Source organism: Homo sapiens, chromosome 7 (genome assembly GCF_000001405.40).
Source record: "Homo sapiens chromosome 7, GRCh38.p14 Primary Assembly".
Lineage (NCBI taxonomy): Eukaryota > Metazoa > Chordata > Mammalia > Primates > Hominidae > Homo > Homo sapiens.
The window spans coordinates 39,692,717-39,715,920 of record NC_000007.14 but is presented as its reverse complement, the minus strand read 5'-3'; the positions used below and the strand labels follow the sequence as shown (position 1 = coordinate 39,715,920).

General features: G+C 40.8%; 1 protein-coding gene across 3 annotated transcripts in view, besides 1 other annotated feature; it reads right to left on the bottom strand.

Annotated features, from left to right (window-relative positions):
- Positions 5,619–5,668: an enhancer, noted in NCBI's record as "active region_25880". NCBI's record gives its function as "activates an Ori minimal core promoter by ATAC-STARR-seq in GM12878 lymphoblastoid cells {active_cell/tissue: GM12878}" and the evidence as "EXISTENCE:reporter gene assay evidence [ECO:0000049][PMID:35858748]".
- Positions 7,801–23,204, bottom strand: part of RALA (RAS like proto-oncogene A) — an 84,549-nt gene continuing 69,145 nt past the window's right edge. For all 3 annotated transcript variants that reach the window (XM_047420682.1, NM_005402.4, XM_047420681.1), the window contains 2 exons: positions 19,062–19,236; positions 7,801–9,798 (listed from right to left, as the gene is read on the bottom strand). In XM_047420682.1, the coding sequence (XP_047276638.1) occupies positions 9,676–9,798; positions 19,062–19,236 (298 nt within the window). In that variant the 3' untranslated portion in view covers positions 7,801–9,675. The remainder of the gene's footprint in view (positions 9,799–19,061; positions 19,237–23,204) is intronic.

Sequence of the window (23,204 nt, the reverse complement as noted above, 5' to 3'; positions counted from 1 at the left end):
TCTTTTCATACAGAAAAGAATGGATTCCTGAACAAAACTGGGCTGTACCAGAAAGGAAAATGGGTGGTGGAGGAATAAATTTGGGGTAGGAACCAATGTTGTTTGCTATGCTTGACAAAGAGGAATGTGAAAGAGGTTTTCCAGCAGTGGGACTAGCATGTGCAAAGGCTCTGAATTGGGAAGGGATACAAGAAATGAGTGTGGCTGAAACATGGAGTGCCAGGGGAAGGGAGCACAGCATAAGATGGGGAGAGCTTGCAAGGCCCAGTGAGTCTTGTGCATTAGTTTCCTGTTGCTGATATGACAAATTATCTCAAATTTAGTGACTTGAAACAGCACAGACTTATCTTACAGTCCTGAAGATCAGAAGCCCAAAATGGGTTTTATGGAGCTAAAATCAAGGTGTCAGCAGAGCTGCATGTGTTCCTTCTGGAGGCTCTAGTGGGGAATCTGCTTTTTGGCATTTCCCACTTCTAGAGGCTGCCTGCATTCCTGGGCTCCTGGCGTCACAACCCTCATTCTCTGCTTGCATCTTCCCATCTCCTTCTCTGACTCTCTGACTCTTACTCTCCTGCCTCCATCTTAGAAGGACCCTTAAGATTACACTGGACCCACCGAGATAATCCGGGATAGTCATCTCATCTCAAAATCCTTAACTTAATCACACCTGCAAAGTCCCTTTTGCCATATAAGATAATAACATATCCACAGGTTCTGGGAATTAGGACATGGACATCTTTGGGGGGCTATTTTGCAGCTCACCACACTATTTTTGGAGTCCTGTATTTATCTTAAAAAGACTGCTCTCACAGTCTTTTGAGTGCCTGTGGCTTTTCCAAGTGCAGGATGCAAGCTGCTGGTCTATCTACCATTCTCCGATCTGGAGGGTGGGTGGTCCCTTCTCACAGCTCCACTAGAAGGTGTCCCAGTGGGGAATCTATGTGGGGGCTCCAACCCCACATTTTCCCTTGGTACTACCCTAAATAGAAGTTCTTTCTGAGGGCTCCACCCCTGTAGCAGGCTTCTGCCTGGACACCCAGGCTTTTCCATACTGAAATCTAGGCAGAGGCTCCCAAGCCTCCTTCACTTTTGCATTCTGTGTGCCTGCAGGCTTAACACCAAGTGGAAGTCATCAAGGCTTAAGGCTTACATTCTCCCAAGTGGCAGCTCAAGCTGTACCTGGGCCCCTTTGTGCCCTGGCTGGAGCTGGAATGGCCAGGATGCAGGGAGCAATGTCCCAAGCTATGTAGGACAGCAGGGCCCTGGGTCTGGCCCATGAAACCATTCTTTCCTCCTTGGCCTCTGGGCCTATGATGGGAGGGGCTGCCACAAAGTTCTCTGAAATGCCTTTGAGGCCTTTTCCCCATTGTTTTGGTTATCAGCACTTGCCTCCCTTTTAGTTTTGCAAATTTCTCTAGCAAATGGTTGCTCCACAACCTGCTTGAATTCCTCTCCTAGAAAAGCTTTTTCTTCCTCTGCTACATGGCCAGGCTGCAAATTTTCCAAATTTTTATGCTCTGCTTCCCTTTTAAATATAAATTCCAGCTGCTTATGCCTGTAATTCCAACACTTTGGGTGGCCGAGGCAGATGGATCTCTTGAGTCTAGGAGTTTGAGACCAGACTGGGCAACATGGCAAAACCCTGTATCTACTAAAAAACAAAAACAAAAAACGTTAGCGGGGTGTGGTGGTGCATGTCTATATTCCCAACCAGTGAGCAGGCAAAGGCAGGAGAATTGCTTGAACTCAGGAGGCGGAGGTTGCAGTGAGCCAAGATCATGCCATTGCACTCCAACCTGGGTGACAGAGGGAGACCCTGTCTCAAAAAAATTAATAAGGTTTATTAAAAAATGAATATAAATTCCACCTTTAAGTCATTTCTTTGCTCCTGCATTTGAGCATAGGGTGTTAGAAGCAGCCAGGCCATATCTCAAATGCTTTTCTGCTTAGAAATTTATTCCACCAGATACCCTAAATCAATCATCACACTTTAGTTCAAACTTCCAAAGACCCTTAGAGCATGGACACAATGTAGCCAAGCTCTTTGCTAAGGTGTAACATGCATGACCTTTCCTCCAGTTCCCAATAAGTTTGCCATTTCCATCTAAGACCTCAGAAGCCTGGACTTCATTTTCCATATCACTATCACCATTTTGGTCACAATCATTTAACCCATCTCTAAGAAGTTCCAAACTTTCCCTCATCTTCCTGTTTTCTGAGCCCTCCAAACTCTTCCAACCTTGGCCCGTTACCCAATTCTAAAGTTGCTCCCACATTTTCAGGTCTCCTTATAGCAATACCCCCTCCTGGTACCAATTTTCTGTATTAGTCTGTTCTTGCATTGCTATAAAGAAATACCTGAAACTAAGTAATCTATAAAGAAAAGAGGTTTAATTGGCTCATGGTTCTGCAGGCTATACAGGAAGCATGGCGCCAACATCAGCTCAGCTTCTTGGGAGGCCTCAGGAAGCTTACAATCATGGCAGAAAAGGGGGCGGACATGTCACATGGTGAAAGCAGGAGCAAGTGAGATGGAGGGGGAGGTACCACACACTTTTTAATGACCAGATTTCATGAGAACTCACCATCATGAAGACAGCACCAAGCCATGAGGGATCCACCTCCTGCCATGACCCAAACACCTCCCACCAGGGCCCACCTCCAGCATTGGGGATTTCAATTCAACATGAGATTTGAGTGGGGACAGATATCCAAAATATATCACCTGCTGAGCCCTGCATACCCTGACAATCACTAGCTGTCCTTTTAAGGCTCATTTGTCATGATAACTTGTCAGAAGGTTTGTGGCTTCTCTCTTGGAAATGGTTATTGACCTTTGAATAAGGACAGTGCTTCATCTGAAGCCTCCTCCCAGCAGTGGAGCAAACTTACAAAGCAGTTGCCAATTTCCCGGAATCTAATGTTTCCTTCTCTCTTTGGCAGATATGTAGTGGGACAGGGGGATTACCTAGATATGCTACTGGCCAGCCTTTTCACCAGAGGCTGCAGCTGCTGCTCAGCATTTTCCTGTTTTCCTTTTTCTATTGTTTAAAAATTCTGTGTTGATACAAGCTCTTGATGTTAATATGTCTCAGAATAAATACAACTGTCACATAGGCTTCACAATGTGTTTTGCTGATTTCATCATGTATTATCATTCTCATTTACTATCACTTTCCTGAGACAGTATTTTCTCTCTGGGACTGTGGGAGTGTGATGTGCTGGGGGCAGGATAAGAGAGACACAAGATGTGATGTGATATGCAGGTGTCTGTGCACCTTCACCTCCATGCTCCACTTATGCTATTGGCCCTCTCAAGAAGATTTGCCTTTGGTGATGCAAGCTGACCCCCAAAATAGAGAATCAAGGTGAAGGCAGGCCGCTTTAGTTTAGTGGTTTGAATCAGTGAACCACCTCATAATTCCCAAAATGCAGCCTCGCTCACATCCAATGCAATGGGGCCTGAAAATCAAACCCCACAAACTCTTGGAGCCGGTATCTCAGGTTGCTCTAAAAAATTCTTCAAGAATGAAATTCTTCGTCAGTGCTTAACCATGTGCTCTCTATATATCTAGGGTCAAAACGTTGAATGATTCAATCTCTCCAGTCTCTCAGTCAATGAGTAAAAGTGTATTGAAGGCCTCTTCTAAGTCAGAACTTTCGTATCAGGGGCCAAAGAGAATATTCATCCCCACATTAATGGTCTCTCGAGTTTGCCACTCCCCCGGTGCTCCAGGCCTTCAGTGAAGCTGAGAGAGGAGCCTTCTCTGTAACTAGTCAGGTATCTCTGACCTGTCCTTCCTTCTAGGGTCCTTATGCTCCATATCCCCATCTTCCTGGCAGGAACTCCAGATATTGATGAAAGATACTAGAGTGGGATAGAAAGAACACGAGAGACTCAGCCAGCAGTGCAAGATTAAGTCTTTCTAGCTGTGACCTTGCACAGGCCACCTGGTCTCTGCAGACTTCACTTCTTTGTTCCCATGACTTGCCATCTGAGGGTACTTTCAGTGCTAAGACTCAGTGAATACAAAGGTGTGGCAACCTGAATCTCTGGTTCCTTAAACTAGAGTCTCCCAGTTTCTTCTTTCCAACATAAAACATGGACTTCAGGGGTATTGTCAATGGTTTAATTGGTGCCAAGCAGAATGTCACACAGAAACTGCTTTTACAGAGAATAGGGGGCCAGCCACAGAGAGAACTTTTCTCTGCATTTAAAATATATATACCCTGTACTAAAAATAGCTTATTTTTTTGTAAAATCCTCACAATAACCCTAGGAATTAAGCACTGACTAGGAGTTTCACAGTGAAGAACCTGGGGTTCAAGGAAGTTCCTCAAGGCAAATGAGAAAGGATGGAGGCCAAATTTGAATTTCAGTTCATCACACTCTGAGAACCCTCAGACTATTGTGCTGTCTCCATTTAAAGCACCCTCAGCCCCCACCCAGAACTTGGAAAGGTAAATAGGAAGAGCTTGAAATTAGCAGACTGATGACTCGGCTGGATGTGGTGGCTTATGCCTCTAGTCTCAGCTACTCAGGAGGCTGAAGTAGGAGGATCACTAGAGTCCAGGAGGTCGAGGCTGCAGTGAGCTATGATCATGCCACTGTACTCCAGCCTGGGCAACAGAATGAGACCCTGTCTCTAAAAAAAAAGACAAAGATGACAGATGCTTTTTTTTTTTTTTTTGATGGGGGTCTCACTTTGTTGCCCAGGCTAGTCTCAAACTCCTGGGCTCAAGTGATCCTCCCATCTCACCCTCCATAGGCATGAACCACCATGACTTTTTCTTTTTCCTTTTTTAATTGAAGCTCTGCATTCTAATTTTGCTTCTTATGTTACTTCGGTGATCCTGTGCAAATTATCTTTCTTCCGATCTATAAACTGAGGGAATGGCTCCTAAGGTGCCTTTTAGGCCAACTTCTAGGATTCTAGGAAAACCATCTAAATATCTACCCATTGAATCCGTTGAATCTGGCATTCTTTTTTGTTGTTGTTGTTTGAGATGCAGTCTTACTCTGTCACCCAGGCTGGAGTGCAGTGGTGCAATCTCTGCTCACAGCCAACCTCCACCTCCCAGGTTCAAACAATTCTCTTGCCTCAGGCTCCCAAGTAGCTGGGATTACAGGTGTGCACCACCGCGCCCGACTAATTTTTGTAATTTTAGTAGAGACAGGGTTTCACCATGGTGGCTAGGCTGGTCTCAAACTCCTGACTTTTGGTGATCCACTCGCTTTGGCCTCCCAAAGTGCTGGGATTACAGGTGGGAGCCACCGCACCCAGCCGAATCTGGCATTCTTTACAAAGACCAGTCCATAAACAAATAAAAGAGCTGGCATGTGATGATGCAGCTCTCAGGGCTATAACCTGAAATCCACTTCACTTCCTTCATAGACCAGTTACCTGTCAGCAGAGGCTCAGAAGTTAGCTCTAATACCTGCTTCCAATTCAACAAGCCCCAAAATTGTCTTTAGGAGTATTTTCTAAGTACTATATGCTTGCAAGCACCTAAATGCTTTTCTGTTTATTTTCCTTGGGGCTTTTGATGAAAGCAATCTTTTATCAGATATCTGACAGTTTTTCTATCAGATTAGCCTTGCAAGTTTTCATGTGTCTCATATCCTCTCTTAAACAGATGTTAACTGTTCCTCCACCCTGTCCCCAGCCCCATCAATGGTGCCTGGGTCCTGATTGAGAATAGATGACCAAACCTCACTTCCTGCCCATTTGCCGTGCACCCACAAGGTATTGTCTACAGTAGCTGCATGCAGAACTGCTACAGTAGAGGACTGAAATGATTTTGCAGTTAAAAAAATATGGGAGGAAAGCTCTGGGCTGCCAAAGGAATGCTGCCTCTTTACTGATGTTATGGAAAAAGCAGAGTCAGCCCTGGCTCCACAGCTGAGCTCTGCACAAGGTTTTGCCTCTTGGCTCTTGATCCTCTTAGCAACCAGGCTGCAAGCACAAGAAGCCTCTTTCCCATTCACACAGCAACATCTGCAAGCTTTCAGTCATTCAAGAGGCTGCAGCCCTGGGGAAATCTCGGGTGTTTCCCACTTTAGTATAGGCAATAACTAACTGTAATCTGAGCTCCATTCTGTTGCTTCTCCACTGTGCAGTGATTAATAAGAGCACGGACTCAGAGCCAGACTACTTTGCTTCCAATCTCACTTAATAATGACCAGTTCTGTGGCCTTGGGGAAGTTATTCAAATTCTCCATGCCTCAGTTCCAACAACTGCAAAGTAAGGATTAATGGCACTATCTACCTCATTGGGTTAAGTATTAAATTTAGATATATAAAAATACAGTATCTTGCATGTCAGATGTACTGTTTGCTAATATTATATGGATTGACGATCATTAAGAAATAGGGGGCCTAGTTCGGCATAAGGAGAATGAGACAACCTCTAATCTTTTTGAAACTTCACTTCCTCTCCTTATACATGGGGTACTTTCTTCAGTATGAATCTCTGCAATTGTCCCTTACGCCTGTTTGTCCTTCACCTGCGTATTCCCAGCCGAACCCAGAGCAGGCAGTCCATCAAAATCTATTGAATACTAAAGGCACAAAGACCTCTACTGACTTGCCATTCTTGACTTCAGACACCAAAGGAGGCTTTTTTTTTTTTTTTTTAAATACAGATAGGGTCTCACTTTGTCCCCAGTGGCTGAAGTGGCTTATTCATAGCTCAATGCTGCCTTGAAATCCTGGGCTCAGTGGATCCTCCTCCCTCAGCCTCCCTGGTAGCTGGGATTACAGGCGCGCGTCACTGTGCCTGCTTAATTTTTTGATTTTTTTGTAGACATGAGGTCTCACCATGTTGCCCAGGCTAGTCTTCACTCTTGGGCTCAAGCAATCTGCCCACTATGGCCTCCCAAAGTGCTGGGATTACAGACTTCGCCTAAAGGAGACTTCTGATACTGGATTACTCTGAAACCTCTACAGAAATTTTAGTAAATGATTTGATAGCTTAAGGTAGTAACATAAAGTTGCCAAATTTTTACGTTCTTCTCACAAAATTTTGGGACATGACTTTCTAACTCCTTCAGGTGAGCAAGACCATGCCCAGCTGATTTTTTAATTTTTTTGTAAATGGGGCTATGTTGTCCAGGCTGGTCTCGAACTCTTGGGCTCAAGCAAACCTCCTGCCTTGGCCTCTCAAAATGCTGGGATTATGACGCATAGTATTTAACATCATATTCCATATTGGTGTTAAGGATCTGTACACACAATGAGATTTAAAATTATGCCAATTATTACTTAAATGTGCTCATTCTAGCACTGCTTATGAGTTACGAAATTAAAATGAACCAGATTTTGAAAGGTTGTGCTCAATATTGGGCTGGATTGTTTCTAACTTGCAGGCTATTCGATAGTTAATAGGCCACGCTTCCCTCCAGACATCAAACGTTGGCCTGAAGCTTGGTGAAATGGTACAGGGTGTCATTCTTCCCACAATTTGGAAATTGTCTCTGGGGGTCATTCTGATTAGAAAATGAATATAAAGCTGTCACCTATTCATTCTAGAGTTTGGAGCATTCTAAAAGTAATGTACACATTTGTCATTTCATGACGGCATAGAATATCTTCAATGTAGTTGTACACGAGTCCTTCCATTTCTGAGCCTTGATTAAATCTGAGCAATGCTGACACTGTTATTTAGGAAATCTGGCATTACACAAAAGAAGTCTCCAAACTGAGAGCTCAAAAGATTTAGTTGTTTGGTAAAGATGCCTCATTTGATACATTTGAATGTTACATGTTACATTGTAAACATCAAGTAACACCACAAACATTTTAAAAAAGGAAGTTTATTGGTCTTTAAATGGCTCAAATTGCAAATAAACAAATCGGGTAGTGGCATCAGCCTAAGACACGTGATGCATCTTTGTCAGTTGGCTTCATAGCACCTCAGTACCCAGGAGAGGAAAGGTCTCAAAGCAAAGTCACAATGTTAGTGGTTAGGACCCCTGGTTAAATAAGACTGTAATAAGTACACATGGAGATTGCTGGGCCCGCTGGCCAGTGTTACATTGGTAACTTGAATTCCGCACATGGCATAGCCTATGAGAAATACGAAATGAAAGATGTACATCTCAAACCCTTTAAGGACAAATATTTAACATGAGAAGCTGGATGTAAATATCTAAAGAGTGAGTTCCTAAAAAGCCTATTTTTAACTTTACATACACACCTGTTACCTGGAATGCCTGAACACATCTTTGACCTGTTCAAATTAGGACTGAGAAAAAAGAAAAAAATACTTTGTTGAATCAACTGTCCTAGCCCCACTGCAAAGAGGAAAAAAAAAAAATCGGTCAGTGGCATATTTCCCACTGAAATTATGTCCCCAAGTAGCATGCTAGAATTCTTCCAGCAGGTACACCACACAATGGTGACACAGCCTAATGTGTGGTCAGTGTGTGCCACGTTTTCTGCACTATACCCAGGTTTGATGGCTTGATGTTAACTTCTGAAAATGTAGCTACAGTGTTCTTCATTATAAACAGAAACAGAAAAGAATTACTCCTAATAATTCCTGTATCAAACTGTAACTTTATGAATATAAATTTAGAAATGAACAGATGGCAAGCATGAATATTTTCCCGAAGCGTTCTAGTGCAAAATGCATTAGCACTACTGACATTTTCTTCCTATGCCCTGCTCCCAGATTAAAAACTTAACACTTACATGCTCACCACTAGCAGAAAGGGATTTCCAGGGACCAGAATCTCAGAGAAAAGGAGGGTTCATTCAAACATAACTGGTGCTGAATCCTTGCAGCTGAAAATTATCTTGCAAGTATATATGCTGGCCCTTCATTTAAAATGAACTTGCAGTTTATTAAAAGCGATCAAAGAGCTCTGGAATCTTATTTTCAAGAACCAGAATATGGCACACATTTTAAATTTGGACAGACTTCTAGCGGACAGTTACTTCTCAAGAATTTTCTATACAAAAGCTGTGCCAGGCATATATTTTCTCACCAGGACACATGGGGCAGCGGACCCCTGGTGTCAGTAAGAACACACCCAGAATGATATAACCAGATATTTTTCAGTTTCTAAATTAAGGCATATTCAAAAAATTCCATGTACAAGTTTACACCACTTTTCTAAGTTACTCACCAGGTAATTAAAGCAGATTCACAGATGAATTACTCTCAGTTTAACTATATGCAACAACCATGCCAATAACTTTTCTTCTAAATTTTGCATAATAATGGTTAAAAAAAGTGGTAGTTTAACTATCATGTTCACAATTGTCATTTTTCAAGGCAGTAGAAGACCAAGACATTTTAAAATGATATAAAATTTAAGCTTTATAATAAACACCAGAGGAAGTCACCTTTCCTCCCACTCCCCACCCCCATTTCACCTCTTCAATTTCAAGAAAGACTGCCCAAGAAACACAAGCTTACACGCTACATTCAGGACCATGATAAATGTAGGCAATTATGAAATAAGTTGAACTTTGCTTCTTGGTGAAGCCATATTAATTTCTTTTTAAAGTAAATTTGACTTTCATTGCAGTTCCAATTCATGCTTTTAGTGATATACAACAATTTCCAAAATGTTAAAGTAATTTCAGTCAATTAAGCCTTCAATGGCAATGCTTATAAATTATATTTATTAGTATGGTCAAGATAAGAAAGGAGTTTGGGCTTTGATTATAAAATGCAGCATCTTTCTCTGATTCTCTTGGCTAAACTTTTCCTCTTCTTTTTTCCATTCTTTTCTTTGCTGTCTTCCATCTTTCTCGCTCGAATTTCTCTCATTAAATCAAAAAATACCTAGAAAGAAAAAAAATAGGATAAATAAAGCAAACAGATACATGAACTTGGTACTTCTCCAAATCACAGCAGTAAACTTTGGGGGTAACAGAAGTATAAATATTTAAGAGCTCTTGTTTGGGAGTACAGAGCGGAAAGCATAAAACTAAAGCCTGATTTTCCTAGTATCTTGAAAAAAGGAGGAAACTAGGAAGTTTTCTGAATTACACTTTATGGTAAAAATGTTCATATGTAATAAAACCTGATCTTTCTGTTCCAGTTTTCGAGACAAAAGTCTAAAAAGTTCTATAAGGTGATGACAGACCCAAAGATAGAACTCAATGGATTATATTTAAGTAGTTTATAATCAATAAATGTATTTTATTAATTTATATTTAATAATATATGCTTAAATTTATATTTAATAATTTGATTATATTTCATAACTTGGTTTCCTCAGTTCCATTTTTAGAAATGAAGCTGAGGAAGATGGGTGTATGCTTTATCATCTTGATACCAGACACTATGAAACAACTTTGTCTGTTACTCTGTATTTGAGAATTTATCAGTTTTTGTCTGATGTCTAGGAACCGGTAAATAATGAGATATTAGCATAGTAACTAAGAAAATTACGAGTATAACAATTCAAAGTTAAATTTCAATAAGAAATTCCTCTGTTCTGTAACACAGAAGGGTCTGGAAGGCTACACACTCACACTCCTACTCCACATAAACGGCTGAGAGTATATGATAAAAGGAGGAATAACTTTTATGATCACTTTTGAATTCTGGATTTAAAAAATGTTTTTACTTATAGAATTAAAAAACTCAGACTAAAGCAAGAAATATGAAAGCGACAATGAGTGCTGTGAGTAAAGAAGCCTGTGTATGTCATGACTGATGTGGCCTTTCCTAACGCGTCTGAAAAAAGCAAGGCACAGAATAGCAGATGGAGCGCTACCTGTGTGTGTGTGTAGGGCAGGAGTATACATGGATTTGTTCGCCCTTGCACAAAGAACAATGAAATAATAAACCAAACCCTAATAATCAATTTCATTTTGAAGAAGGGAGGAGGGTACAAGGAAGAGTGAGGCATCTCTGAGTGTATCTTGTTATAGAATTTCTACTTTAGAGACATAGGTGTTTTACGTATTCAAAAATAAAATTAGGCCAGGCATGGTGACTCACACCTGTAATCTCAGCACTCTGGGAGGCCGAGGCGGGCAGATCACCTGAGGTCAGGAGTTCTAGACTACCCTGGCCAACATGGTGAAACCTCGTCTCTACAAAAAATACAAAAATTAGCTGGGTGTGGTGGCGGGCACTTGTAATCCCAGCTACTGGGAAGGCTGAGGCACAAGAATTGCTTGAACCCAGGAGGTGGAGGTTGCACTGAGCCGAGATTGTGCCACTGCACTCCAGCCTGGGCGACAGAGCAAGACTCAGTCTCAAAAAAATAAAAATAAAAAATAAAACAAAATAGCAAATCCTAAAAATTGAAAATCAAATTAAAATAAATTAAGACTGGCCAGGCGTGGTGGTTCATGCCTGTAGTCCCAGTACTTTGGGAGGCTGAGGTGGGCGGATCACCTGAGGTCAGGAGTTCAAGACCAGCCTGGCCAACATAGAGAAATCCCATCTCTACTAAAAATACAAAAATTAGCCAGGTGTGGTGGCGTATGCCTGTAATCCCAGCTACTCGAGAGGCTGAGGCAGATCACTTGAATTCAGGAGGCGGAGGTTGCGGTGAGCTGAGATCGTGCCACTGAACTCCAGCCTGGGCAACAGAGTGAGACTCCATTTCAAAAAACAAACAAACAAGACACAAACAAGTAAGACTGACTAGAGGAATTATTTCAAAGGTCTATAAGACAGCATAGAAAGTATCTATTTTAGAATAGATGCTAAGGATAAAAATAGAAACAAAATTCCAACAAAACAAAACAAAGACAAATCTTAAACTTCTTTTTTTTTTTTTTTTTTTGAGAGAGTCTCTGTTGCCCAGGCTGGAGTGGGATGGCGTGATCTCAGCTCACTGCAACCTCTGCCTCCCGGGTTCAAGAGATTCTCCTGCCTCAGCCTTCCAAGTAGCTGGGATTACAGACAGGCACCACCATGTCTGGCTAATTTTTGTATTTTTAGTAGAGACGGGGTTTTGCCATGTTGGCCAGGCTGGTCTCGAACTCCTGACCTCAGGTGATCTACCTGTCTCAGCCTCTAAATGTGCTGGAATTACAGATGTGAGCCACAACACCCAGCCAAACTTCATTTTGTAGTTTGTTTGTGACAGCAATGTTGCTCTTTTGGAACTATTTTATTAATGCAAGGGAGGAATTATGTTAATGTAATTTAGGAACCAAGATCTTCAGTGTAAGAGAAAAGATACAAGTACAAAATCAAAGATGTAAACATTTGTAATGTTAAATTTGAATTGGAAATAACAACATGATCACATTTTTTTCTTTTAATAATACCTATTTCCTAGAACTATTCACTGAAAAATGACAACACAATAGCAACAAGCAAATTATGTAACTATGCTGTGGCTGCTAAATATCATTCCTCCTAAACAGAACCTGAGTTCCTTAGATGAATGGCTGATTCCTGATCTGCAGCAAGAAGCATAAAATTTAAGTCAGAAAGCAACGAAACTATCAAAGATGAATGGGCTGAGTCAAACGGACATAGGACCAACATGAAGGAGCATAAACGGTTAAAGGGAAAAAAGTATAAAACACACACCCACACACAAAGTATGCAACAGAACGGAACACAATGATGACATAAAAGCCATGGGTTTTTGCCCCTAGTGGTTGTGATTCTATTTCCCCAGAGACTAGGAATTTCAGAAGACCTCTGTTTCAAGTCTCTGGCTAACTAGCTAGGACAGGAGGTCTCGATTCTGACTAAATGTAATTATTGGAATACTCCCAGTATTGCTTTCTAATGCAGATAAATCACTATGAAAAGGAAACTAGATGAAGGTTTAATTTCTGATTTTATTTTCAATTGAATTTTGTCTGTTTAATTGACACATATTCACAGAGTACACAGTGATGTTTTGAAACATATAACGTACAGTGACTAAGACCAGGGTAATTAGCACATCCATCATCTCAATCATTTATTATTTGTGTTGGGAACATTCAATATCCTCCTTTCAGGTATTTGAAACTATACATTATTGTTAAGTATAGTCATCTACAATAGTATAGTACACCAGAGCTCATTCCTCATATCTAGCTGTAATTCTGTATAATTTAACAAATCTCTACCTATCCCTCCCATTCCAGCCTCTAGTATTCTCTGTTCTATTTTTTACTTCTATGAGATCAACTTTTTCTAAGCTTTTACATATGAATGAGAACATGCAGTGTTTAACTGCCTGTTCCTGGCTTATTTCACTTAATTGTCTCCAGTTCTATCCATATTGCCATGAATGACAGGATTTCATCCTTTTCAATGATTGAATAGTACTCTATAGTGTATATCTATCACATTTTCTTTATCCATTCATCTGTTGTTGGCACTTGGGTTGGTTCTGTATCTTGGCTATTGTGAACACTGCTGTAACAAATAAATGTCATTAATAGGAAAATGGCTGAATTATGGAAAAGTCTAACCATGGAATACTTTGTGGTTTTAAAAAGAATGTGGATACATCTATATGCAGTGACATGGAAGAGCTGTAGGATTTGTCATAAAATTTAAAAAGCGCACCACAGAAATATGCTCTATATATACAGATACAAAATATATTACGTGTGTGTATATATATACACAAATCCTATTAATACAGGAAGAAAAAACAAGCAAATGCAAACTTTCCCTTAGAGATATGTATGACTGCTTTTAACGTCTGGAAAGACACACCCGTGTTAGCACTGGTTACTGAAAGGGAGGGGAAAGGAGTGAACTATGGGAGAAAAATGACTCATTTTTCCTCCTTATGTTTCTATATTATGAATTTTTCTTTATATAAGCATGTATCCATGTATTACTTATACAATGAAAAAACCCAAATATGATATTTTCCAAAAAATACAGTGTATTTCTACCAAAATTCTTCCCTCGACATAAAACTGATTCTCTTGACATAATAAATCACACTGCCCCTTTGGACATCTGTTAATATTTGCTCAACTTCTCTCTATTCTGCCAAAATGTTCCTTAAAATCAAGAGCAACCTTGGAGTCGTGAATTAAGACCCAGAGCATTTAGCTAGAAGGATAATAACAAGGTCACTGAATGAATCCAATGAGTACACAAGTAGGATTGCCCAGATGTTCCTTTAGCCTCGGAGTGATTCCTCTGTGACAAGCATGGCTTCCTGAGACATGCCATGCCCCAGCTCTGGTGGCTATGACACTTTTTCATGACTAGATTTAAAATCTGCATCTTTGAAACTTCCACCTAATGGTCTATTTGGACTCCAGATGAGGATAACGCATGAGCCAATGATCTTATGGAGAGCTAGCATTTGTTCTGTGACAAAGCATGACACTTCACAATTTAATAAAAGGAAATAACACTTGCTATTCCTGAAAATTTGTGATCAGGCTTCTAGTAGTGGATGACATAAGAAATGGGAGATACACTAGCTATTCCAACCATTGTTTTGTTTTGTTTTTGAGATAGGGTCTCACTCCCATTACCCAGGCTGGAGGGTAGTGGTTATGATCTCGGCTCACTGCAGCCTCCACCTCCCAGGCTCAAGCAATCCTCCTGTCTCAGCCTCCCAAGTAACTGTGACTACAGACATTCGCCACCACACCTGGCTAGTTTTTGTATTTTTTGTAGAGATAGGCTTTTGCCATGTTGCCCGGGCTGGTCTCAAACTCCTGGGCTCAAGTAATCTGCCTGCCTCGGCCTACCAGAGTGCAGGGATTATAGGTGTGGTGGCACCTGGCCCCAACCATTGTTTTGAGTAAAATATTGAAGAAAGAATGTGAGCATGTGAGCGCCAGAGTTGGCCAGACCCAGAAGCTGCAGATGCCACCACGAACCCCGTGACCTTGAGCCAGTTACGTAATCTCCCCACACCGCAGCTTCCTTGTCTAAAAAGTGAGCATCAGAAGAGTATCTACGCCTCACACAATTAAGGATTAAATGGTTGGTACTTACCACAGTGCCTGGCTCTTATAAACACAAATAAATATTAGCTTTTCTGATTATTAGATTATTTCCTCAGGAAAACAACCACAAACACAAGTATAACCTAATTCTGGAAATTGAATAGTTGCTGCAAATGACTTTTATGTAGCCACTGAGGTACTTTATCTGGTAATCACTCCGCAGGATGTAGCAGTACATGAAATTATAGTCTTCAGTATGGATTTGCACCTCACTTTACAAGCAGCCTCGTTTAATGTAATTCTGTTTTGGACAGGTGACCACCGACTGCAGACTGTATTAACTGAAACTGGCCACAGCAATGTTTCCTATGTGCTTTTCCAGAATCCTGCCACTTTTCATCAAGAGCTGAAGTCTATTCCCCTTCCTTCTCAACCTAGGTGAGACTTTGTGACTATCTCCAACCTGTAGAATGAGGTAGAAATAATGCTGCATAACTTCAGAGACTATGTCATAAAAGGCCGTATGGTTTCTGCCTGGTTCTTTTTCTCTTGTGACACTTGCCCTTGGAGACTCTGCCCACTGTGCTGTGAGGAAGCCTAAACTAGCACACATGGAAAAGGCCACATGGAGGAGCCCACCTGGAGAGGAACTGAGGCATCCTTGGATAATGGCCAGCATCATCTGGCTGAGCCAGACATGTGCGAACAAGCCTTCAGAACCTAAGTTTAGGTATTTCCAGTGCCTAGACTTGAAGCTTTCAGCTGAGGCAGCAGACACTGTAGAGCAGAGCCAAGCCATTTCCACTGTGCCCTGTTCAAATTCTTGGCCACAGAATGTATAAGCAGAATAAATGACTGTTTTACCCATAAAGGTTCTGGGGTGTACTTTGTTATACAGCCATAGTAACTAAAACGGCCTTATACCTTTATTTTATTTTTTATTTTTTGAAAAAGTAACATAGTCGTACCTCAGTATCTATGGGGGATTGGTTCCAGAATGCCCGTGGATCCCAAAATCTCTACCTACTCAAGTCCCGCAGCTGGCCCTGCAGAACACATGGATGCAAAAAGCCAGCCCTCCGCATATGCAGGTTTCACATCCTGCTGTATTCTCTGTCTGCATTTGGTTGTGGATGCAGAGCCCACCGACATGGAGGCAGACTGCATCTGTGAAAAAAAAATCTGCACAGCTCAAATCTGTGTTGTTTGAGGGCCAAGTGTCCATGAATATGGCAAAAAGTTCACAAGGGTATTTACAGTGAAAAAAGCATAAACTGTGGCTTAATTCTCTGGAGGCAACCACAGGTACCAGAGTCTTACATATCCTTATGATGTGTACATAGATAATGTGTATGTATGTGTGTTTAAAACACATGGCAGCAAGCTACAGACACCACTCTGTACTTTGTTTCACTTACTTTATAATTGAAGATCATCTGATATCAGCACATTTAGTTCTATCCTCATTTCTTTTTAATGGTTGGGCAAAACTCCATTATTTAAACCAGTCCATTACTGAACACTTGGATATTTCCAGTCTTTTGCTTCTAAAAATAATGCTTCACTGACTACCACTGAACATACACGTATACGTGAGTGCATAATTTGTTCTGTATAATAACATTTTTAGGCCGGGCGTGGTGGCTCACGCCTGTAATCCCAGCACTTTGGGAGGCCGAGGCGGGTGGATCATGAGGTCAGGAGATCAAGACCATCCTGGCTAACAAGGTGAAACCCCGTCTCTACTAAAAATACAAAAAATTAGCCGGGCGCGGTGGCGGGCGCCTGTAGTCCCAGCTACTCGGGAGGCTGAGGCAGGAGAATGGCGTGAACCCGGGAAGCAGAGCTTGCAGTGAGCCGAGATTGCGCCACTGCAGTCCGCAGTCCGGCCTGGGCGACAGAGCGAGACTCCGTCTCAAAAAAAAAAAAAAAAAAAAAAAAAAAAAATAACATTTTTAGCACTTAAATTGCTGGGTCATAATTCTGATGGGTATCACAAAACTGCCCTTCCACCAACATATGAGAGGTTCCTGTTTTTCTATACTCTTGCTAACAGTATATTCTATTCTCAACCTCTTTGCTTTTTTTCTCCCAAAGTGACGGGTAAAAAAAGGACATTCCACTATATTTTAAAGTTGTACTTCCCTTTTTATAAGTGAGACCGAGCCTCTCTTCCAGTTTAAAGGCCATTTGTGTTTCCTTTCTACGACATGCCAGTTGCTGTTTTTGGGCCATTTTCCCTAGGCTTTTGTCCTGTAAGAGCTGTGCTAATACAGACACCATACTTCCCAGGGCCTCTGATGCCAACAGATGATCACCACAAGGACTGTTACAATATAGCTTTCTATCTTGGATTGCCAGTGTCTGCATCTCTTCCCCACTCCCCTTAGGTTCAAATAGTTTTTATAGTGTGTTCTACAACCTACTCGAAACATCGATTAGAAAAGTATATATATGCTATGAGAATGTTCAACGTTGCCTTTTAAAACCTCAAACACCCTCAATCTTAACATATATTTTCATTAGTATTTTAAAAATATTTGCCATACAAATTGTCTCTTCAAATCTATAATTTTCTAATGACTTAGAAATGGCAGGCACAGGCTGGGCATTTTACATATGTGATTTCATTTCATCTTTACAATAATCCTATGAAGCAGGTATTCTTGTTCCCATTTCCAAATGGAAGCTAACTGAAATACCCAAGCCCTAGTTACTGTGTTCAGAAACCATGGTTCCCAGGAAACTATGATAGGGCATGCTATGGACTGAATGCTTGTGTCACCCCAAAATTCATATACTGAAACCCGAATTCCTTATGTGATGGCAATAAGAGATGGGGCCTTTGGGTCGTAATTACGTCACTAGGGTAGGGTTGTCATAATGGAATTAGTATCCTAAGAAGAATCAGGAGAGCTATCTCTCTCTCTCTGTCATGTGAGGATGCAGCAGGAAGGTATAAGGAAATCCAGCAAATCAGGAAGAAAGCCCTCTCCAGAATCATTTTGTCTAAGACCTTGATCTTGGACTCGCCAGCCTCCAGAACTGTGAGAAATAACTTTGTTATTTAAGCAAAACACACATACACACACATACACACACACACACACACACACACACTTGCCCTAGTCCTAACCTTAGAAAAAATTCGTATCCTGAATAGAATCCTGTAGTACTCACTTTGTACAGATATCTTAGACCTAAAGGAATCTGACAATGTCTTAAAAAGTTAAGAAGCTTAAGACAGCAACGACACTGTCTTAAGACCTACAGCAAAATAACAGAACAAATCTCAAACTTTTTTTTTAACCTAGTACTTTCTGGATCAGGGTTATAAATCTACAAGCACATGCAGCACTTGCTAGAATCATAAATTCTTAGGCCCCATTCCAGACCAAATGAATCCAAATCTCTAGGGGTAAGACCCAAGAATGTGTGTTTATCAAGATTTACAGGCAGTTCTTTTGCCTATTGGAGCTTGAGAGGCACACTATAGAGCCTAGATACTTGCAGGCTGAAGAAAGACCCCACTTGGAGGCCTTTAAGATTCTGTGCTACCTCAGCCCAGTGAGCAGTCTTTCTAGATACTGGAGCTGGTCTAGGGCAGTGGGATGAAATGTACTTGCAGGTGTTCCACATCTGGTCTTCAGGAAGGGCCACTCTGAACAAAGCGAGAAGACAAGAAAGGAGGGCAGAGTGTTTACTTTCCTTTCTTTCTCTTTCAGGAGAAAACAAAGGTTGAGGGTGGGGAGTGGAGAGTGGCAGGAGAGATTTTAAAACGCTCTTATCTGGGGGCTTCTTCATCTTGGGAGGTACCCTTATTTTTAAGAACTTAAGTGGGGTTGGGTAGATGTCAGGTCAGAGGTAAGAACGGTTTAGTGCTGGAATCTTGGGACTCACACGATTCCTTCTAAATTATCCAAAGACTCAATAGGATAAGGGGGGAAAAAAGTCAGGAATGCCATCAGTGCTTTAAAAAGAAAAAAAGTACATTTAGCTGTAGTGTCTCATGTTTTAATGTCTCTTGGGAAGCTAAGGACAAGGTGAACTAAAATTCCTAACATGTATCTGAGTATTCAGGGATGATAAAAATCAACAAGGATTAAACCTCTATTTGAAAGTTTCATAGACTCTCCAGACAAAATGGAGCCAAGTTAAAGCAAACCAACCTATTTTAACATGATGCAGTAGTAAAGAGTCACGTGTTACCTTGTCAACATTAGCTCGTGTTTTAGCAGATGTTTCCACGTAGTTAACATTCCACTGCTCAGCTCTGTTTTTTGCCTCTTCTACAGAAACCTGTCTTTTATCTTCTAAATCTGATTTGTTACCAACCAGTAGAAATGGAACATTCTCATCTTCTTTTACTCTTAAAATCTGCTCCCTGGATAAGAGAAAATGAAAAAGAAATATTAACATTATAAGGATAGCACAGAAAGTTCTTGTTTGCCCCATACCTATTTTTCCCTATTGTTAACATCTACTACTGTGGTACACAAATCACAATTAATGAACCAATATCGATACAGTATTAGCAACTAAGGTCCAAACTTTATTCAAATGTGCTTGCTTTTTGCCTGACATCCTTTTTCTGTTCCAGGATCCCATCCAGGTTGCCACATGACATTTAGTTTCGTCATGTCTCTTTAGCCTTGAGTTGGCCATGGTAATTCTCAGACTTTCCTTGTTTTTGATGACCTTAATAGTTTTGAGGACTGCTGGCTGGCAGTTTGTACAATGTCTCTCAATTGGGATTTGTCAGATGTTTTCCTCATGATTAAAGTAGGGTTATTGGTTCTTGGGAGGAAGATTTAGAAAGTGCTATTCTTATTGCATCATATCAAGGGTCCCACCAATTGTTTTTCAAAACCCAAATGTGCCAGAAATTACTGGAAGTCAGACCTTGAGCATAGATTTTGCATTGAGAGGTAAGTTATCCACTGTGAAAGTGTCATCAATTTTAAAGTACCATGGTTCTGCTCTTCCTAGTCATGTAAGTCTGAGCAAAGTGCAAAGTACTTCTTACCTCAGTTTCCTCATCTATAAAATGGAGCCAACAATTATACCTTCCTTATAAAGTTGCTATGAGGGTTAAATGTGAAGTGCTTATAACTGCATCGACAGAGTAAATATTCAAAAAATGTTAGCTCATTATTAATCTACTGGAAGAAATGTTTTTTTGTAAAATCAAAAAACAAAAGGAAATCTGTAAGACTTAGGTTCAATAATTTGCTACCTTAAAAATGCCTCTCCTTTGAAATTATTAAGAGCTGTTGAAGCTATAGGAACGTAAGTAAAGTCAGCCCTCTGTATCCACAGACTCAACTAACTGCAAATAAAAAATATCTTTTAAAACCCCAAAAACAGCCAGGTGCAGTGGCTCATACCTGTAAACCCAGCACTTTGGGAGGCTGAGGCAGGAGGATTGCTTGAGGCTAGGAGTTCAATACCAGCCCAGGCAACACAGTGAGACCCCCATATCTATAAAAAATAGAAAAAAAATTTGGCTGGGTGTAGTAGTGTGCACCTGTAGTCCTAGCTACTCAGGAAGATCGCTTGAGCCCAGGAGTTCAAGGCTGCAGTGAGCCATGATTACATCACTGTACTCTAGCCTGGATGACAGAGTAAGATCCTGTCTCAAAAAAAAAAACCAAAAACCAAAAAAATGCCACAATAAAAAGTAAAACAAAATTTAAAATGCAGAATAACAACTATTTACATAGCAATTACACTGTATTAGCTATTAAAAGTAATCTAGAGATGACTTAAGGTACATGGGAGGATGTGCATAGGCTATCTGCAAATACCACACCATTTTATAGAAGAGACTTGACTATCCATGAATGTCGGTATCCATAAGGAGTCCTGGAACCAATCCCTGCCCTGCCCTGATACTGAGGGACGACTATATTTTAGAATAAGAGAAAATGAGAAAATTAAAGGGATATTAGAATGGCAAATCAGCAAAGTACACTTGGTTTTGCAGACTTTTTTTTTTTTTCTTTTTTTTGAGACAGGGTCTTACTCTGTCACCCAGGCTGTAGTGCAGTGGCATGATCACGGCTCACTGCAGCCTCAACCTCCTGGGCTCAAGCAATTCTCTTACCTCAACTTCCCGAGTAGCACACCTATACTATAGGCACGCGCCACCACACCCAGCTAATTTTTTTTTCTTTTTTTCTTTTTTTTGTAGAGATGGGGTTTCACCATGTTGTCCAGACTGGTCTTGAACTCCTGAACTCAAGTGATCTGCCTGCTTCAGCCTCCCAAATTGCTGGGATTACTGCTGTGAGCCACTGTACCTGGCTGCAGGCATTTTATAGTGATGCTTGAAAAACTGGGAAAAATCTTCTTGCCTTATTTTCAGATTATTCTATTCTGTGCTTCTTAGACAATGTTTCCTAAATACCACCACCACACTACTACCACTAACATTGTACTCAGCGCTCACAATGTGCCAAACACTGCTTTCAGGACTTACATACATTTTCTCATTTAATCCTTACCTAAACCTATGAAGTTAGTATCATTATTATTCTTGTCCTACAGATGAGGAAACTGATGCACACAGAAATTATGTTAACTTGCTCAGAGACACACTTAAGTAGAACCAGGACTGAGAAATCCAACTCCAGAGCACACAATGAACTTGTACAGTAGATACCAAGAGAATACAAAGGCAGACCTCCTGCATTTTAACTCTATGCTATTCCTGACTGCACAACCTGGGGCAAGCCACTTAACCTCCCTGCATTTCTGTTTCTTCATTTATAAATTTGGATGTCACTTTTTTAAAAAAAGTCAAATTTAAGACATCACTAGTTCTCAATCTTATTTTATGGACTCTAAGAAAAACTGCTGGCAATTATAACTGTATGGTGCCATATCATAAGACATAGCCCTCAGAGATGTTAAAATGTACATCTTATAATCTATGAAATCCAGTAGTATCTATCTCACAGTGTTGTTTGAGAAACTAATTTATATATGTGAATGCTTAGAACAGTCTGGTCCTGGTAAGTGCTGCATGAGTATGAGGTAGTGTTACTATTATTATTACTTCATTCACTTGATTACTCACGATGTAGCAAACATTCTAACACATTCAACACTCATAGGAAGTTCTTTGGACCTGAACTCTCAGTTTTTCTAATGTGAATAGACTATAGGCCGCACAGACTATGGGCCACAGAGAAAGTAAACTCCATTCTTCACTGATTTGTATTTGTCTTAAACATCCTTTTAGAAGTCAAACAAGCACGGTATCTGGGTGATGCAGGCTAAGACGTACAGCACTACACAGTGCTATGATGCTTCCTACCACTCACATGATTTCTTGCAAAAACCATGTCAACTTTCACCATGATTACTATTAAATATATGCAGTACTTGTGAAGGGCATTTTGGCCAATCACAATCTTTTTCTAGGGCGTGCTGTGACTTTCTTAACCAGTTTCCTTTGTGAATGACGGCCTGAATGCTGTTCTTTTTTCTTTTTTTAATTATACTTTAAGTTGTAGGGTACATGTGCACAACGTGCAGGTTTGTTACCGAGGTATACATGTGCCATGTTGGTTTGCTGCACCCATCAACTCGTCATTTACATTAGGTATTTCTCCTAATGCTATCCCTCCCCCAGTCCCCCACCCCACGATAGGCCCCAGTGTGTGATGTTCCCTGCCCTGTGTCCAAGTGTTCTCATTGTTCAATTCCCACCTATGAGTGAAAATATGCAGTGTCTGGTTTTCTGTCCTTGTGACAGTTTGCTCAGAATGATGGTTTCCAGCTTCATCCATGTCCCTGCGAAGGACATGAACTCATCCTTTTTTATGGCTGCATAGTATTCCATGGTGTATATGTGCCATATTTTCTTAATTCAGTCTATCATTGATGGACATTTGAGTTGATTCCAAGTCTTTACTATTGTGAGTAGTGCCGCAGTAAACATACATGTGCATGTGTCTTCATAGCAGCATGATTTATAATCCTTTGGGTACATACCCAGTAATGGGATCGCTGGGTCAAATGGTATTTCTATTCTAGATCCTTGAGGAATCGCCACACTGTCTTCCACAATGGTTAAACTAATTTACACTCTCACCAACAGTGTAAAAGCATTCCTATTTCTCCACATCCTCTCCAGCATCTGTTGTTTCCTGACTTTCTAATGATCGCCACTGAATGAAGCTGTTAACAACAACTAACCTGCCACTCAGTCTCACCACTTGGAAGGTGAGACTGACTCAGGTGTTTGTAACTCTAGCACCTCTGGTCATATGTGTGTATATATAGTCATTAATTTATTTCTTAATAAATACCTACTAAGCTACTCTGAGTCAGGTGCTGCAGGGA